General features: G+C 41.8%; 1 long non-coding RNA gene across 1 annotated transcript in view; it reads right to left on the bottom strand.

Annotated features, from left to right (window-relative positions):
* The window catches only part of MYHAS (myosin heavy chain gene cluster antisense RNA), a 242,409-nt gene extending 235,255 nt beyond the window's left edge, over positions 1-7,154 (bottom strand). Inside the window, exon 1 of the long non-coding RNA NR_125367.1 lies at positions 7,079-7,154. This is a non-coding gene — a long non-coding RNA (myosin heavy chain gene cluster antisense RNA). The remainder of the gene's footprint in view (positions 1-7,078) is intronic.
* Between the last annotated feature and the right edge of the window lie 10,125 nt (positions 7,155-17,279).

Here is a 17,279-nt window from a genome sequence, read left to right as displayed (position 1 = left end):
GCTCACAGTTCTCACCTAGCTATTAATATCTTAATATTATATATGGCTTTGCAGAGCATTCAATATTTTATACCTTCAGCACCACCCAACAGTCCCTTTCCCACCTCTTCACCCCCCACCAACACACACACAAATATCTTTTGCTGAGCTTGTTTTTATTATATCTCTCTAGATTGTTACAAATTACTAAGAAAAACACTCCCTGAGGCTGCCCTCTGTATGGGCCCATTCATTTACTCCACAAACGATATTGAGCATCTACTATGTGCATCAATATAATAAATCAATAAATAGTGCCAGCCACTATTTAAGTTTTGTGTGAACAAAATATAGTTTCTGCTCTCTAGAAGCTTATATTCCACAACGAAAGAAAAGCAATAAATAAATTCATAACTATGTAATGAGCCAGATTATAAGTACTAATGGGAAATTAGAAAGTAGGAGGGAAGCATTTACTATTTTTTTTTTTCCGAGACAGAGTCTCACTCAGTCGCCCAGGCTGGAGTGCAGTGGCGCGATCTCGGCTCACTGCAAGCTCCGCCTCCCGGGTTCACGCCATTCTCCTGCCTCGGCCTCCGGAGTAGCTGGGACTACAGGTGCCTGCCACCACGCCCGGCTAATTTTTTGTATTTTTAGTAGAGACGGGGTTTCACCGTCTCAGCCAGGATGGTCTCGATCTCCTGACCTCGTGATCCACCCGCCTTGGCCTCCCAAAGTGCTGGGATTACAGGCGTGAGCCACCGCGCCCGGCCGCATTTACTATTTTATAGACAGTAGTCAAGGAAGGCATCTCTGGTAAGAAGACACTTGAGCAGTGACCTGAAGGAGGCAAGAGGGTAAGCCAAGTGAGTATATGGGCGCACAGCACGTCCAGGCAGAGAAAACAGAAAATGCAAAGGCCCTAAGGCAAGGGCAGGTAGGGAATGTTAGGGGGGCAGGGAGGAGGTCAAGCAGGGCAGGAAGAGACTGAGCAAGATGAGACAGTTAAGGCATAAGAGAGGAACTGAGAGACCAGATCATGTAGGGCCCCTTGGCCACTCTAAGGACTTTTGCCTTTACTCAGAGTGAAGTGGGAAAGCTTTGGAGGGTTTTGAGCAGGGTGATATTAACAAACATTTTAAAAGAATCACTCTGGCTGCTGTGTTGAGAATAAACTAAGGGAGCAAAGATGGACACTGGGAAACTAGTTAGGAGCCTACTGAAAAATAAAGGTTAAAAGATGACAGTGGCAGTTGGGCGCGGTGGCTCACACCTGGAATCCCAACACTTTGGGAGGTCGAGGTGGGCAGATCACTTGAGCCCGAGAGTTCGAGACCAGCCTAGGCAACATAGCAAAACCCCATCTCTACTAAAAATAGAAAAAAAGAAAAAAATTAGCAGGGCATAGTGGCACATGCCTGTAGTCCCAGCTACGAGGGAGGCTAAGGTGGGAGAATCACCTGAGCCCGGGAAGTCAAGGCTGCAATAAACCAAGATCGCACCACTGCACTCCAGCCTGGGAGACAGAGTGAGACCCTGTCTCAAAAAAAAAAAAAAACAAAAAAACTAACAACAACAACAACAATAAAAACCATGACAGTGGCTTAGGGCAGAAAAATAACAACGGGAGACAAAGAGAAGTAGATGGATTCCAGATTTATTGAAGGTAGCTAGCATACATAGGATTGTCAGAGAGATTGGATGAGAGACAAAGTGAAAGAATGAACTTATAAAAGAGGGACAGAAAATAAGACCAAAAAAAGGCTTGATGGAGTAGAACCTCCAGAAAGAGAGGAAGCAGCAGAACAAAAATGAAATCTAGACAAAGACTGTACTTTATTCACTCCTTCCTCTACCTTCTAACATTTACTCTCCCCCAACCTCTAAACCCCTATCACCCTCAATCTTTTCATTATAAATTGTGTAGACCGCAATCTCAAATGTGTCTAAGTTAATAACAAAAGTTTAAAACAAAAAAGAGAAAAAAAAAGTTAAATAATCTCCAAAAAACAAAATTTTGGATCAAAGAGGAAATCAAAACTACAATCATAAGAACATGTAGAAAGAAACAAAAGAAAAAATCTTTGTGACCTCAGCTTAGGCAAAGATGTCTTAGATATGACACCAAAGACACAGGCCACAAAAGAAAAAATTGATCAATTGTACATCATCAAAATGTAAAGCTTCTGCTCTTTGAAAAACACTGTTATAGAGAGAATGAAAAGACAAGCCACAGATTGAAAGTATTTACAACTTATATCCCTGATGAAAGATTTATATTCAGAATATATAAACAAATCTAAAAATCCAGGGAAAAGGTAACAACATAATACTTTAAAAGGCAAAAGGTTTAGACAAACATTTCACTAAACATACAGATGATAAAAAGGCATCTGAAAATCATTCAACATCATGAATCATGAGAAAAATATCAATTAAAACACAGTAAGATACCACAACACACTTACTACAATGACTAAAAGACCAAAGTGTTGGCCAAGAGTCATAATGTAAAATGTTACAATGACTTATGAAAACAGTTTGGCAACTTCTTTAAAAGTTAACAAATTATCTATATGATCTAGCCATTCTATTCCTAGGTATTTACCAAAGAGAAATGAAAGCGTATGTCCACATGAAGACTTGTACACAAATGTTTATGGCACATTTATTTGTAATAGGGGCAAAAACCAAAAAGAAAAACCAAAATATCCATCAACAAATGAATGGGTAACAAATTATGGTATATCCATACAATGAAATACTACTCAGCTATCAAAAGAAACCATTAACACTAAAAAGGGTGAATCTCAAGATAATTACGTTGATTGAAAGCAGCAGCCCCTCCAAAAAGTACATACTATATTATTCTATTTATATAAAATTCTAGAAAATGAAAACTACAGTGATAGAAAGTGGACCAGCAGTTGGCTAGTGATGCAGAGGGAGGGTTTGTAGGGGGCACAAAGAAAGGGTGGAGGGGATTACAAGGGAGCAGGAGGAAATTTGGGAGGGGGGTCCATGAACATGTTCATTATCTTGATTGAGATGATGGTTTCACAGGCATCTATGTATGTAAAAACCTATCAAACTGTGCACTTTTAATATGTGCACTTTTAAATGTCAATTATACCTCCATAAATTTAAAATTCTGCATTAGGGGAAATATCACAATTACAGTACTCTGGGAAGATAATTAGTAATTAGAATACTATATGCCAAACTTTAAAGCCAGAGCTATACTTTTTCACAGAAATTGCATGAAGCCTGTTTATCAGTTTGTTGACATATTTACTATGTTGAATCTTCCAATTCTTAACTACAGTCTGTTTCATTTAATTAGATCTTCTTTTATTTCTTTCATCAGTGTTTGGTAGTTTTCAGCATACAAGCCATATATAAATTTTGTTAGATCTATGTCAAACTTTTTTTTTTTTTTTTTTTTTTTGAGACGGAGTCTCACTCTGTTGCCCAGACTGGAGTGCAGTGGCACAATCTCAGCTCACTGCAACCTCCACCTCCCGGGTTCAAGCCATTCTCCTGCCTCAGCCTCCTGAGTAGCTGGGATTACAGGCGTGCACCACCATGTCTGGCTAATTTTTGTATTTTTAGTAGAGGCAGGGTTTCACCACGTTGGTCAGGTTGGTCTCAAACTCCTGACCTCATGATCCGCCCACCTTGGCCTCCCAAAGTTCTCGGATTACAGCCGTGAGCCACCGTTCCCGGCCTGTCTAACTTCTTTCTTTTTTTAAGTGACTGTAAATGGCATTATATTTCTAATTTTGCTGTCTACATGTTCACTGCTAACATACAGAGAAACAATTGATTTTCTCTTTTTTTCTGTTTTTGTTTTTTGTTGTTGTTGTTGTTGTTGTTTTTGTTTGAGACGGAGTCTTACTGTGTCACCAGGCTGGAGAGCAGTGGCTCACTGCAAACTCCACCTCCCAGGTTCAAGTGATTCTCCTGCCTCAGCCTCCTGCGCAGCTGGGATTACAGGCACGTGCCACCATGCCCAGCTAATTTTTGTATTTTTAGTAGAGACAAGGTTTTACCATATTGGCCAGGATGGTCTCAATCTCTTGACCTCGTGATCTGCCTGCCTCGGCCTCCCAAAGTGTTGGGATTACGGGCGTGAGCCACGGTGCCCAGCCTTCTGTTGCATTTCTTAAGATTTAGATCATAATTGCAACTCTGCTATTCTTAGAACAAAGAATGAGTAAATGTTGCAGTTGGGACAAAAGGGACAGATTTCTCACAGTCATATGTGATAACATAATATGACATCCTTTAAGTTTTGCAATGCAATAATAAAATACATCCTTTTTCACAAAAATGCATGACTTCATCAATATTTTTAAGAGCCTTCCTAATCCTTTGATCCTGAATTCATTCTCGGGAAACATCTATTGGGTCATCATTTTTGTCCATTTTCAGTTCTTCAATTGTTAACTAGTTCAACACTGCTGAATGCACGCTGGTCAATGGCTTTGCAAAACTCAAGCCAATTTTTTTTACTACTTTCACTGACTTCACTAAATTCTGCAACTGTTCCAAGATTTCTCATTTTACTTTGCATTCAACTTAAATTGATTATTGCATATTTACAATACATAATGATCAACAAGATCGTTAGTGAATACTTTTTGTTTTCCTATGCAATATCATTATTGTGAAGGCTCCAATAACAGGGACTCCACTGTTGCAAACTGAAAACTATCTTTAGCCTTTGCCCAGAAAGTCTATTCTATAGATTTAACAATTAAAGATATGCATAAGCATTTATGTACACATATATACTTAGCAGAATATTTTAAAGAACAGAAACTTAGAGCACCCTAAATGCCCAATAATAGAAAATTTGTTATATAAATTATGTTATCTTCAAAGCATGGTACACTACGTAACTATTAAAAATCATAATCTAAAAGAATAGTTAATATCATGAGAAAATTTTAAAATGTGTTCTAAAAGCAGAATACAAAACAGTGCTTGCAGACTGATATCTCAATTGTGTATGTGTTTAAGAATACATAAAAATTGGCCAGGCGTGGTGGCACATGCCTGTAATCCCAGCACCTTGGGAAGCCAAGGTGGGCGGATCATGAGGTCAAGAGATCGAGACCATCCTGGCCAACATGGTGAAACCCCATCTCTACTAAAAATACAAAAATTAGCTGGGCATGGTGACACACCTGCAGTCCCAGCTGCTCCAGAGGCTGAGGCAGGAGAATCACTTGAATCTGGGAGGCAGAGGTTGCAGTGAGCCGAGATCGCACCACTGCATTCCAGGCTGGCGACAGAGCGAGACTCCATCTAAAAAAAAAAAAAAAAAAAGGAGCTGGATACCATCCTGGCCAACATGGTAAAACCCCGTTTCTACTAAAAAATATTAAAATTAGCTGGGCATGGTGGCACTCGCCTGTAGTCCCAGGTACAGGGGAGGCTGAGGCAGGAGAAACACTTGAACCCAGGAGGCGGAGGTTGTAGTGAGCCAAGATCGCACCACTGCACTCCAGCCTAGCAACAGAATGAGACTCCGCCTCAAAAAAAAAAAAAAAAAAGAAAGAAAAAAGGATACATAAAAACATGGAAAAAAATGTGAAAGGATTTAAACCAAAATTTAGGTAGAGATGACTTCTATGCTAAAATTTTAGGCAAGATTTAAAATTTTCCTTCAGTATGTTTGATTATGTTTTTCAATGTGTGTACTATTTTTGGAATTCTTTTAAAGGCTCATGTTTTTAAAATAAATAAAAGTAACCTGCCTCTTAAGATTTCATATCCACTTCTCATCAAAGACGTGGATATAACTGACAACAGTAAGGTGAAGAGAGGGTCGTTTGATGGATGAGATCATTAGCACAGCTGCTAAAAGCTGTTGCCTGTCATCCAAGCTCTCTGTAAGGATTAACATTCCAGGACTGACACACAGCAGCTGTCAGTAAGCAAACTTAAATTCTGCCTCCTGGCTGTGGCAGAGGTTTGGGCACATGTTCCACATATCGGTGTCCCTAGGAACCGTCATCGCAGACTCCATCGGTCACATTTTCCAAAGCGAGAAGCTGAAGAATCAGCCGTGGGCAGATGGAAAGAACCTTGCTTAAGGATAGAATTTGCCAGCCTGATTCCTCCCTCCTAGTTCCAAGGGCCACTAAGATGCCGCTTCCGGAGGCCGCAAGAAAAAAGAAAGCCTCTCCATGGTGAAGGAGAAAAACATCTCCCTTGGGGAACACACCCAAAACAGGGCTTCTCTTAGATTCCAATAGGCTGACCTTCACAAGAGGGCAAACTATCTTCTCAGCTCCTCACAGAAACTATGGCTTGTGGCTTTCCTGGGGAAACTGAGGTACTGCGCAGTGTGAAGGCTCAAAGTATGAGAAATTATGTTTAAAACATGGATGGGAAAGGTAGTACCTTCTGAGCAACAAAATCATCACTTTTTCCACTATTTGGAAAAATAATTCAATTGGTACCCACGGATTTGAGTATCTGAACCTGACTTTATATAAGAATATATGTGTAGCCGGGTGCGGTGGCTCATGCCTGTAATCCCAGCACTTTGGGAGGCCGAGGCGGGCGGATCACCTGAGGTCAGGAGTTTGAGACCAGCCTGGCCAACATGGCGAAACCCCGTCTCTACTAAAAGTACAAAAATTAGCCAGGCGTGGTGGCGGGTGCCTGTAATCCCAGCTACTCAGGAGGCTGAGGCAGGAGAATCACTTGAACCCGGGAGGTGGAGGTTGCAGTGAACCCAGATCACGCCACAGCACTCCAGCCTGGCGACAAGAGTGCTACTCCGTCTCAAAAAAAAAAAAAAAAAAAAACAGGAATATTTATGTGTACCACATGTACAACATAATAATATGGCTATGTATGCACTGAAAATTTTCAAACGGGCTTTGTTGACAAGAATTTTAAATTTTCTGTCTGGCCCAGTCAGTCATGGGACTTGCCCTCAAATGCCCTCTCCACACTCAATTTCATACCCTCCCCACCACACAGTCCTTCACGGATCTACTGTCTGGAATTACACAGCACAAATAAATCGCGGGGACGAACAAGGTCCTGCTCACTCGCAAACTCTTAAATGCACACTTACTGGCCAGGTCCCAGTACGGCCTCCAGGCCTGCCGCAGCTACGGCAGGAGTCACTTCTGGCCTTTCCTTCCCACAGACTGACCCTTCCCATGATGCCCTGGGACGCACCGGAAGTGACTCCCCTCCTCTCTGGACAATTGAAAACATCGTTTCTCTCCTGTAGTGCCAGGGTGTCTCCTTCAAAGCACACTGTGGCTGTCTTTTTTTTTTTTTTTTTTTTTTTGAGACAGTTTCGCTCTTATTGCCCGGGCTGGGGTGCAATGGCTCGATCTCGACTCACCGCAACCTCCGCGATTACAAGCATGCGCCACCACGCCCGGCTAATTTTTGTATTTTTAGTAGAGACTTGGCGTTTCTCCATGTTGGTCGGCTGGTCTCGAACTCTCGACCTCAGGTGATCCGCCGCCTCGGCCTCCCAAACTGCTGGATTACAGGCGTGAGCCACCGCGCTCGGCGCACTGCTGCCGTCTTTTGACGCATTATCAGCACTTTGACCCACTCCCTCCCCCCCACAACTAGATCATAGTTGTTGAGAAAACAAACTTTCTCTTCAGTTCCCGAAAAAATGTCTTCATTAGCCTTCTGTTGAATGAAGAGCAGACATTCAATAAATTTTGTTGGACAGAATGAACCAATATTGAGTAGAAAAAGAGCAGTTAACAGATCCAACACTCAACACAGAAAAAGGAGGAAAAAAACAGCCTTTATAACAACAGCTGACATTTGAAACCCGAAGTCCTTACCTTAATTTCCAAGGCTCTAAACCATCTGGCTCTTGCCTACCTCTGCCACTACATTCCCTACTACTGGTTCACTCTGCCCCACTGGCCCACCATCTCCCAGAGCGTTTGCATTTGTTTCCTCTGCCTGAAATACTGTCGCCCTTTGATATTTTCATGGCTTACTCATTCACTTCACTAGGTGTCTGCTCAAATATCACCTCTTCAGAGAAACTTCCCCACACAGCCACTGTTTCCTTATCCTGCTTTTCTTTCCTTCAGAGCATTTATCTTTAATTGATATATCTGTTTGTGACTTTATCTATTTTGTTCTCCAGTACTTAAAATCCTCCCAGCATATGGTAAGGTTTCAACGAATGTTGAATGAATGAATGCATGTTTACCATGTTGCTAGCTCTCTGCTAAGCCCTATGTATGTATTACAGTTTTGCAATTAACAGTTCCAGGTGGGAATTTCATCATCATTGTAGCTTGGATCATTCTAGAAGATCTCAAACTGATTCCATCTATCCTTGTCTTGGTCAGGCTTGTCTTGTCAGGAGGTTGCAGTGAGCCGAGATCGTGCCATTGCACTCCAGCATAGTGACAGAGTGAGACTCCGTCTCAAACAAACAAACAAAAAAGAATACATAAAAACATGGAAAAAATGTGAAAAGATTTAAACCAAAATTTAGGTAGATATTTTGAGGACTTTGCCATGATACCCTCCAACAACCTATCAGGTATAGTGATGAATTTACCACCACTTGCCCAAGACAGTCCTGGTTTTAAAATGGAAAGTTTCAAGAACTCCCTTAGCCCCAAACAAATTGGCATGGTTGGTCACCTACTTTCAGATATCCAGGCTCCTATCTTCCCTGTTTTGTTTTACTGCTATGTGGGGAGGAATGAATCTACACAGAAAATTGGCTACATATACTGGGTAGAATGAGAGGACTAAAAAGACAGTGGACAGGCTTTGGCAGCTGGTGGGCCTCACCAGACAGCAGCATCAAAGACATGAACAACATTGGAGACATTGACTTGGCTCCCAAAGCCCTCTGCCACTGTCAGTGGTTGGTGCGTTCACCGAAGAAAGCTCATGTTTTTCAAAATCACAAGGTTCTCTGTTGACATAGCCTCAACCACTCTCCCCTTTCCCAAACTATCATGTCACATCCAAATAGTAACCTGCCATGCATTCATTAATTCACTTAATTGCCACAAGAACCTCCTGAGTTACTGTTAACATTCCCATTCTACAGGTGAGAAAACTGAGGCTGACAAAGATTAAGTAACTTGCCCAAATTCAAGTAGCTTAAATAGTGAAGTCAGAATTTGTGACCCAGCATTCTGATTGTCAAGGTCCATTCTTAGTGACTGCATTATCATGCAGATTTTAATGATATAAGTACATACTTTTACTGCATCCAACAAGCTTTTTTAGGACACATTAAGACCTCAGTGGTAGTAGTTAAAAGTAATCAATCATGCTTTCCTTAGCTCTAATGAGGTTTTAAGCAGCTGAAGTAACCAAAACACAGCAAATAGACCCCAAGGTAGGAAGCAAACAGCAGGAGATCCTAACTCTCACAGACATGAGTCAAAGCTATGAAGCCAGGCTGGAAAGTCTCCAGTTTACTGAACAGACCTAGCTGGTAGGATTTTTTCTCTGAACACAATGTTCTCAGGTCATCCACACAATCTCTTCATGTTATTTTCGGTGAAGGATGCCTAGTTTATGTGTAATTCTGAGAAGCATGTATAATTCTGATAGCATTAGTGTCTTACAGGATCTTGTAAAGCCAGAAGCAGCTGTCTTCAAGTGAAAATACAAACTGGACTTGGAGTCAAAAGATGTTTGTTTTAGCTCTCACTCTGCCACTTATTAGCCGTATGGTTAGTCATTTATCCTCACCAAGCCTCAGTTTTCCCACCTACAAAACTGTGATAAGTCTCTTTTCTCATTGACATTTAATAATCAATTTAAATAATGCTTTTGATAACCCCTATGAACTTTTTGCTTTGCACATTTTCAGTATATAAATACCAGCAGTGAAGAAGTTTATATATTCTATTTGAAAGAGTTCCAAACTTGCTCTGTTGAGTTTGAGAGTAGAATGGAGAGGGGACTAATTTTATGCTTAGCATGAATTAGATAAACTGTCTAGAACCTCAATTTCTGATTCTGTAAGGTAGGAGTTACTTTAGACAATATTCAAAGCCTCCTTTAGTTCCAGAATCTATATTATCATTCAAATCTTTAGTTAGGCAATTCAAATATGAATGGGGGCCATTCACCAATGTGACTTTCACTCAGAAATTTCTGTTCCTGGCTGGAAAACGTCCTGCTGCTTTTTGAAATTTCATCTGTTACATAAGCCCTGAGATAGCCTGAGTTGTAAGGGGTGAGGTATGATCCCACTATTAGCACAATTAATTGCCCTTTCTTCTCAAGTAGCCTTCTGAGGAGTGACCTCAATCACACTTTTTTTCCTAGTCTTATTTGGCCTTGCTACTGCCTCCTTCTTCCCACTGCGCTATCCACATTGACATTTCCTCTGAAAGCATCTTAAATAGTGATTTGTGAAGAGATGTGTCCCTAGGAAAATCAGAAAAACTTTTTCCTCCTCCTTAACACCTGCTCATTCCTTAATCCCTTCTGCCACCCCCACCATCCTGCTGACATTGCTGTCAGGATCACCTCCCTGGCCAATCCAATGCCCTGTTCCTGGTCCTCTCTTTCTCCAGCTTCTCTGTAGCACTCTTCATGATAGCCTCTCTCTTGAAAATATCACTTCCCTTGACTTATTTTGACACTAATAATAAAGTTACCTTCACTTTTGAGTAGACGAAATGATTTTGTAATAAGACTGAAGAAAATTTCCAGTCATAGAACTCCTCTCAGGTTTGAGAGAGGTGGGCTGATAGTGTGGGGTGGGAGCTGTGGACTTGGGGGAATAGTGATGAAATAGAGATGATGAAACCCCAAAACAAGGAATCTCTCAGAGGTGATGGATATGACTATTACCTTGATTATGGTACATGCATATGTCCAGACTCATAAAATTGTGTGCTTAAGTGTGTATAGCTTTTTGTATATCAATTATGCTTCAATACAGCTGTAAAAAAAAGAAAGAAAAAGATGAGTCCCTTTCCCCCTGAAAAAGGGCCTATATGAATAAAAATAGGTGGTGACCAAACTTGTTTCTAAAGATGAAAGTGGTCTTCTTTATTTGATGACTTTTATGTTGCTGAGTAACCAGAAGAGTAGAAATGCATGTCTATGGCAGAGCTAAATGATTCCACATAATAGAGGATCAACTGAGTACCCTAGGGGTGCAGAGAAATTCCTGAAAGGAAGAAAGGAAAAGACATCCAGCATCAGTGTAAAGAAAAAATGGACTTTGTAGAACAGACATTTCTGATGGAAACAGATAATGTATTCTGAGGTATGTAATATAATCCTCTTCTATGTCTCCCCTAAAATATCTTTGGTAAATTCTGCATTGCTCATTTAGATTTTGGGGGATGGTGGATTATATGCTGAGACCAGGTCAGGGTGGGTGGACATGAAAATGTACAGTTTGGGATGGGATAGAAGCAGACTGCACACAGAGATAGCCACATCTAGATGGCATAGACAGGATTTCATTAGGTCCCTGCATCATTCTCGTGACTTGGACAGAAACAGAAAAATTTTTTCTGATTTTGCAGCTGAAGGGGAAAGACTCCAGAGTTGCTAAGAGAAGGGAGGGGGGCTCACCCCAGTCAGAAAATGGCAGAAGTAAGCTGGGGACTCTCTCAGGTCTTCTGACTCCAGCAAGATCTTACTGCTTCTCACTTGGTATTTGCTTACTTGCAGAATGAACCTCGTTTATTTTTATTTACTTTTTTCCTCCTTTTCTGTTTTCATTTCCTCTTCCCATGTCCGCAACACCTAGCCTTCCTGTGAGCGCTAAACTTTCACAAGAGTTTAAATTATCACCTCTAGACAAATGATATCCCCCAACATAGAGGATGACATCTCTAGCCTTGACATCTCCTTTAAACTTTGAACCCTTATCTCTGCCACATCATCTCACGCTCAATATGTCCAAAATCGACACTCATCTTTCTCCAGTTCAGTGTCTCCTCTGGGCTGGTGTCGTGGCCCTAGATTCCAGGCTGAAATGAGGTCTGCATGACAGGCAGGATCCTTTGACGACTCCTCGCCCCCCAAACTCGGCAGTCATCAAAGCCCTTTGGGTCCTGCCTTTAGGGGACCTCTTGAGTTTTCTCTCCTTCCTTTTGAACTTCATTTTTATTCTCTGTAATTGAGGCCCTCTTCATTTTACACCAATTTTTTAAAAATTTTTTCTGCAAACACTTAACTATGATGACTTAACCATGATTTTTTTTTTTTTTTTTTTTTTTTTTGAGACGGAGTCTCGCTCTGTCTCCCAGGCTGGAATGCAGTGGCGTGATCTCCACTTACTGCAAGCTCTGCCTCCTGAGTTCACGCCATTCTCCTGCCTCAGCCTCCTGAGTAGCTGGGACTACAGGTGCCTGCCACCATGCCCGGCTAATTTTTGTGTGTGTGTATTTTTAGTAGAGATGGGGTTTCACCGTGTTAGCCAGAATGGTCTCGATCTCCTGACCTCGTGATCCGCCCGCCTAGGCCTCCCAAAGTGCTGGGATTACAGGCATGAGCCACCGCACCTGGCCGATTATTTTTTATATTCAGTGTAAGTGATTGTTAATATACACTGAGTAGATTTTAATATATTGATATAATATGGGGTAGAGCCTCAAAAAATAAGCCTAGAACTCACAAAGGTCTTAAATGGGCCCTAATATACACCTCTTTTTTTTATTTTTTTGAGATGGAGTCTTGCTCTGTCACCCAGGCTGGAGTGCAGTGGTGCAATCTCTGGCTCACTGCCACCTCCATCTCCCAGGTTCAAGAGATTCTCCTGCCTCAGCCTCCCAAGTAGCTGGGATTACAGGCACTTGCCACCATGCCCAGCTAATTTTTGTATGTTTAGTAGAGATGGGGTTTCACCATGTTGGCCAGGCTGGTATCGAACTTCTGACCTCAAGTGATACACCTGCCTTAGCCTCCCAAAGTGCTAGGATTACAGGTGTGAACCACCACACTTGGTCCCTAATACACACTTCTTTTACCACTTGGGGTTTGAAATTTCACTGTTCCTGCTTTGCCTAAATGGGACAGTGTAGAAGAAAAACTACAAGCCCACGCAATGCTCTTCTCCCTGACTCTGCATGGCAGAATCAGAGCCACCAGGGCTGGACTCAGAACCACCAGCCACCAGGACTCACAACCACTGCGAAAGCCACCCTGCGGTGCTGTGGGGAATTTTAACACAGATCTGAAAGCGCAGGGGCATTGAGGGGTAAAGTCTAAGCATCTAACAGCCTGCCTGCCCCCACGAGTCATCAGAACCTGTCCAATCATCTAGGGAAGTTTTACACCAAGATTTTTTCAATAGTCACAACTTGCTTCTAGGCCGCCAGGTTCTCTTGCCACCATTACATCATATCACCAGTTCTAGACTCATCTTCAAATACATATGTGTGTGTGTGCGTGAGTGTGCATGTGTGCGTGTGTGTGTGTGTGTAATCTGCCCACTTTCCTGCTCACAAACCTCAAAAGGCCTCCCAGTGATCTCGGAATAATGCCTGACTCCTTTCCTGGGCACTGAAAATCCATCACAAATAAGCACAGCCCACTTCTGCCTTCACCTCCGTATTACCCCCGACCCCACCCCAGTCCTGTGCTGTGGCCTGGCTCTCCCAGTTGACCTTCCTAAAATATCCTGGGAAGACTTGTTTCCAAGCAATGATCCCTCAGTTCCCTAAGCCTAGAACCTCCTTCCTGTTCCCCTCACCCAGTTAAAAGTCTGCCTCCTTTAAGGGACAGGAGAGACTAGGGGAAAAGGCGTGGCTTTGGAATCAGAAATCCTGGATTTCAGTTCTGGTTCAATTGCGTACTAGCTGTGGGGCCTTTTAGCCAATCCTTTACCCTTTTAGGCCTCAGTTTCCCCATTTAGACCGTGGGAATAATAATAATATGAATCGTATAAACCTCTCAGCCTGGTAGAGAAAAATAAACATAATAAAATATATAAAATCGTCATCTAAACCAAAAAGTACTAAAAGATTATTATTATCTACAGTCACTACTTCTGTCCAGATCTTTTCCCTCCTTCAAAATAAATAAAATGTTATTATTATAACAATTCTGCTAATATTTTATATATACAACACACTTTATGGTTTTTCAAATACCTTGTACATACGTCGAATCCACTGTCCACAATCCAATCAGTTTAGGATAGTTTCATCTGGGAAAGTGATTTATCCTTTTCATGTCTATGCACTTCTCTTCCCATCTGCATTGTCAGCTCCTTTGGGGCAGTGATCTTAGCTCATACCCCTGTTCCCCATTCCCAGCACAGAGTCTAATACCAAGTAGGCACTCAAACATGATGCATTTCCAAAAACGAGATGTTACAGGCATAGGCTCTAGAGCCAGAGAGCACTTGAAACTCATTTCAGCTGCTGACTAGTTGTATGGCCTTGGGCAGATTGCTTAAACTCTCAGTAGTTGTATAATAGAAATGATATTAGCACCTACCTCACAGGACTATTATAAAGCTTCAGTGAATCAATATGGATAAAGCCTGGCATGTGGTGAGTTCTTAAGTCTTTTTTCTTTTCTTTCTTTCTTTCTTTTTTTTTTTTTATGTGAGATGGAGTCTTTCTCTGTTGCCCAGACTAGAGTGCAACGGTGCCATCTTCACTCACTGCAACTTCCACCTCCTGGGTTCACGCGAGTCTCCTGCCTCAGCCTGCCAAGTAGCTGGGAATGCAGGTGTGCACCACCACGCCTGGCTAATTTTATTGGTATTTTTAGTAGAGATGGGGTTTCACCATGTTGGCCAGGCTGATGTCAAACTGCTGACTTCAAGTGATCCACCCGGCTCGGCCTCCCAAAGTGCTGGGATTACAGGTGTGAGCCACTGCACCCAGCCTAGTTCTTAAGTCTTAATTATTACCATTAAATGAAACTCAGAGTCTGATTCCATTCTTTTCTTATCACTTCAGGCCTTTCAACACATGAGTCAGGATGACTCCCCTATGAGTCATCTTGATTCATTTATTCACCAGGACGAACATTTACTGAGCATCTGCTACATGCAAAAGGCTGCACCTCAAATAAAAGCAACTGTGCTTAGGGCTGATCACTCTCGGTTGCTTTCTTCTGGGCCAGAACTTTGCTATGGATTATGTCCTTCAGCCTTTCCTCTCTTGTTTTCTGGAACAGGAAATAAATAAGTTTGTGTTCCAACATCAAATCACCTAGGGAAGTTCCAGGTCTAAAAAAAAAGTATTCATATTTCTTTACTGAAGGGCTTCTCACATCCCTTAATATGCTAATATTTATGATGAATCTCTAACAGGAGGGAATAGAGTTTAACACATTTCTTAAGCTCATTTAACCACAGGACCATTTATTTCGAAGCGACCCTCCCAATCTGCATTCTGTCAAATCTACTTTAGAAAATACTTTGTGGAAGCCAGGCTCATGCCTGTAATCCCAGCACTTTGGGAGGCCAAGGCAGGCGGATCACCTGAGGTCGGGAGTTCGAGACCAGCCTGACCAACATGGTGAAACCCCGTCTCTATTAAAAATACAAAATTAGCTGGGCCTGGTGGCACATGCCTGTAATCCCAGCTACTCGGGAGGCTGAGGCAGGAAAATCGCTTGAACCCACAAGGCGGAGGTTGTGGTGGGCGGAGGTCGCGCCATTGCAATCCAGCCTGGGCAACAAGAGCAAAACTCTGTCTCAAAAAAAAAAAAGAAAGAAAGAGAAAGAAAGAGAGAGAAAGAAAGAAAGGAACGAAAGAAGGAAGGAAGGAAGGAGGGAGGGAGGGAGGGAAGGAAGGAAGGAAGGAAGGAAGGAAGGAAGGAAGGAAGGAAGGAAGGAAGAGAAAATACTTTGTGGAAGTCCTATCTCTACCTGCTCCTCCTCTGGTCTAAAATTCACTTTGATTAATGCAAACTATCTTTTGGAAATGCCCTACCTACATGAAATTCTACCCACTGGAGACTGATTAAGGAAACTTTGATTCAACAAACACTGATTATATACAATTTAAACAGATCACACTGTATTGCAGTAAATGGCTCTAACTTCTACATATACAGTTGTTCCTACATAGTCAAACATCACTTATATTTTAGCAAAAAATAAAAAAACTCCTAAGTAACTATAATTGTCACAAAGTCCACGTATTTTCATTAGAACCCACTAGAGCTGCACTCAGAACTTATTTACTCTTACTTTAGCCTGATCTTAATTTTGTAATCTCTTTCCCAATCAATAATACAAAATCAGGCTAGTAAAGACAAACTTACCACAGAAAGAAATTATACCTGAGAGGCTGGCCATGAAGGCAAAGACAGAAAATCTAAAAAGTAAGGCCAAGTGTGGTGGCTCACACTTGTAATCCCAGCATTTTGGGAGGCCGAGGCGGGAGGATCACTTGAGGTCAGGAGTTCGAAACCACCCTGGCCAACATGGTGAAACCCTGTCTCTACTAAAAATATAAAAATTAGCTGGGCGATTATAGCACATGCCTATATATAACACATGGGATTATAGCACATGCCTATAATCCCAACTACTTGGGAGGCTGAGACAAGAGAATTGCTTGAACCTGGGAAATGGAGTTTGCAGCGAACCAAGATCACGCCACTGCACTCCAGCCTAGAGGAGAGAGCAAGACTCTGTTTCGATAATAATAATAATAATAAATAAAAGTATACACCAAAATTCACAGCAGGAACAATTAGTGCAGGCATGATCCACTAAGAACCAGATCCTTGATGACTTTATTATATCATCTCCCAGACCCCCAGAGTGATCAAGAAAAACTTAAATTCTATTCAAGATAGTAGGTTACACAGAGCAGGATAATGTAAAATACATTTTGGAAAGCTTTTCTTCCAGTAGATTTTTAAACAAACAAATACATAAATAAGACTGGATGTGTTAAAAGGTCAACCTTAAATTTCCAGAGATTTCTGAGATGAGAAGCACACCATCCCATACCAATGCTGGGTAAATGAGGTGTAGTTACTGTCCACACTACTGATCACCCATTGCTTGACAAAGCATCCTGTGGTTCTGCCCTTCAGTGACCTTCTTAGCACACTCTGCTCCAGTTCCACTCAGCCCCTAGGACTCTCTAAGTCTCAAAGATCTGTGTCCAACGTCAAAATCCCTATGCAGCTGACTTGGCATTATGCAGCCTCCACTGGTCATTTATCCAAGTAACTTAACAAGAGTGAGAGATCAGGGCTACGACGCATTTACATCTAACAAGTAAATGGTGCTCCCCCAAATATAGCCAAGTTAGAGTGCTGGGCTGGCAGATTTGGGAGTATAAAGAGAGCTGGGGGGTCACACTCCT

Source organism: Homo sapiens, chromosome 17, assembly GCF_000001405.40.
Source record: "Homo sapiens chromosome 17, GRCh38.p14 Primary Assembly".
Classification (NCBI taxonomy): Eukaryota; Metazoa; Chordata; class Mammalia; order Primates; family Hominidae; genus Homo; species Homo sapiens.
This window is presented reverse-complemented; position numbering and strand designations above follow the sequence as displayed.